This window comes from Homo sapiens, chromosome 1 (genome assembly GCF_000001405.40).
Source record: "Homo sapiens chromosome 1, GRCh38.p14 Primary Assembly".
Taxonomy (NCBI): Eukaryota; Metazoa; Chordata; class Mammalia; order Primates; family Hominidae; genus Homo; species Homo sapiens.
In genome coordinates, this window is record NC_000001.11 from 239,175,289 (window position 1) to 239,177,777 (window position 2,489).

The window sequence follows — 2,489 nt, forward strand, 5'->3', positions numbered from 1 at the left end:
CAATTAAATACTACCTAGCAATAAAAAATCTACTGATAAACCTAAAAAGATAATTATGCTTAGTGAAAAAGACACATAAGAGTATGTATTGTATGATTCCATTTTTAAAATTCTAGAAAATGGAAATTAATCTATGATAACATAGAGCAAATCAGTGGTTGCCTAAGAAAAGAGAAGGGATGAAAGAAAGACTCTAGTTTATTGTACGTCAATTCTACCTCATTAAACCCATGAAAAAATATATAAATGAGCATTATTTCCTGCATGATATCAAAAGAATAAACAGTATAGTATTGGTTAAACATAAATAAATCAATGACAGTCTAGAAACAACAAAAGTTTACATGAGTTTAATTTATAATAGGGTAGCAGTAACAACAGTGAATTATTTACCATAATTTCAATAATCCCTTGAAAAGGGGTTAATTTCAGTGGTCCAGAGCACAGATTAGAGAGAAAGATTTCCTGCAATTAGTCCTGGCTCCTCTACTTAATAGTGTGATGACTTTTGAAAAGTTATGTAATCTTTCTAAGTTTCTAACCCATGACCGTCCTTGTTACAACCTGCGTCCAAATCAAACTATTTGTCAAAAAAGGGAACAAGTAAAATTTTAATTTAACCTTGACCTCTACCTAACACTACCCCTTAAAACTAACTTATAAAGGTCTTGATTCTATATAAAAGCAAAATTAATAACATCTGTAGAAGCAAATACAGGGGAACATCTAGGGATTCCTTATGGTTTAAATAGTTCTAATCAGGGATGAGGGCGTGTCAGCTGGGAGTCTTTTGTTATCCAGGAGTCATGGAAGAAAATCTTACTGCCTATCAGAAAGCCTGTGCAGCCAATTTAGGATACCTTCAGTTTTCATCTATGAAGAACAGAACATTTATTTTTAACCAGTTTCAGAGAAGGATATCAAGACAAAATATTCCTTAATCCTCTTATTCAAAATTAAAACAAAACAAAGGATTATACATCTCACTCACTCCTCTAGTTCCTAAGTCTTTTTACGTCTTGCTTTCTCCTGCCAAGCTTCAAGGTTTGCCTACATTCTTTTTCCATTTTAAGTGGATATGGCACTTTAGGAAGTACATCGTGCAGGACTGAATTAAATTACTAGCTCTGCCATTTAATTGGGTTGCCTTAAGCGATCCTTAAGCAAAGGACTGATTAAGAAAACTGTCTTTTTCTTAGTCTTTCCTTCAACAAATAAAAAGGAACAACAAATAAAAAAAATATTTTTTATTGTGAATGCTGAATGAAATAACATGGCGACAAAGTATGTCCCACAGTAGTCATTTTAAAATGTTAGCCTCCTTTCCTTTTTGAATATAAAATATCCTATTTGATTTGTGTGTATAGCCAGTCCAGCTTCTCTTCAATCCTTTAAGAACCATTTAGGGCAAAAATTATTTTAGTACTGCTCTAGGTAAGATCATTGTTGTCAGTAATGCTAGCACTTCCATTGTCCTCTTGTACTGAATTGCATTCTTTTATTTTGGTTTTTGTCTTTCAGAATTTATGACATCGGGACAGAGGGAATTTGTTCATTTTGTCTTATTTATGCTAATGGGAACAGTCAGTGAAATAGGAGCGACTGAAATTATAAGGAACCCATAACAGTCCTTGTGCAACCAACCGCCAAAACAAACCATTTGTCATGAAGGGGATAAGCAGAAATTTAACAGCTTTCTCTCCTTTCTGTTTTTCTTTTGCCCGCGTTCCTCTGACCTCTGTTACAGCTCTAAATTGTTGTAAAAGCAATCAGACATCTGTAGCAAAAGAAGGATGAAAGAAAAAGTGTTTAAATTATCTGTTAAAAAAAATGAGTTTTTCATACGAGGAGCAACTTGCTGTTGGGGATCAGAAAATGATGCCCTAAAAGGAAGGCTCTTCAGTCTGAGAAGCAAAAGTTTCTCTTAGACCTTCCCCGACCTTCTTGTAAGGGGTGCCTACGAGAGAATGAATGCCTCTCATTCTCCTCAAGACTAGCCATAGAGACTAGAATCTCTCTTCCCCACGGCAGGTTGTAGAAACCAGAAGCTCTTTTCCCCAAAGCCAGATATAAAACCTAAAAATATTACTCTTTATCCCCCACCTTTCTTTGTAAAATGTTGCCATTAAGAACTTACCTGGGCCGGGAGCGGTGGCTCACGCCTGTAATCCCAGCACTTTGGGAGGCCGAGGCGGGCGGATCACGAGGTCAGGAGATCGACACCATCCTGGCTAAAACAGTGAAACGCCGTCTCTACTAAAAATACAAAAAAATTAGCCGGGCGTGGTGGCGGGCGCCTGTGGTCCCGGCTACTCGGGAGGCTGAGGCAGGAGAATGGCGTGAACCCGGGAGGCGGAGCTTGCAGTGAGCCGAGATGGCGCCACTGCACTCCAGCCTGGGCGACAGAGCGAGACTCCGTCTCAAAAAATAAATAAATAAATAAAATAAAAAGAACTTACCTGATCTACCTTATTTGACTGTAGGTCATA

The 2,489-nt window shown here is 37.4% G+C and overlaps 1 long non-coding RNA gene across 1 annotated transcript; it reads right to left on the reverse strand.

Annotated features, from left to right (window-relative positions):
• Positions 1-335: 335 nt before the first annotated feature.
• On the reverse strand, positions 336-2,256 carry LOC124904566 (uncharacterized). Its single transcript, XR_007066967.1, has 2 exons — positions 2,138-2,256; positions 336-1,777 (listed from the first exon to the last, which is right to left on the reverse strand). It is a non-coding gene; the product is annotated as an uncharacterized LOC124904566 (long non-coding RNA).
• Between the last annotated feature and the right edge of the window lie 233 nt (positions 2,257-2,489).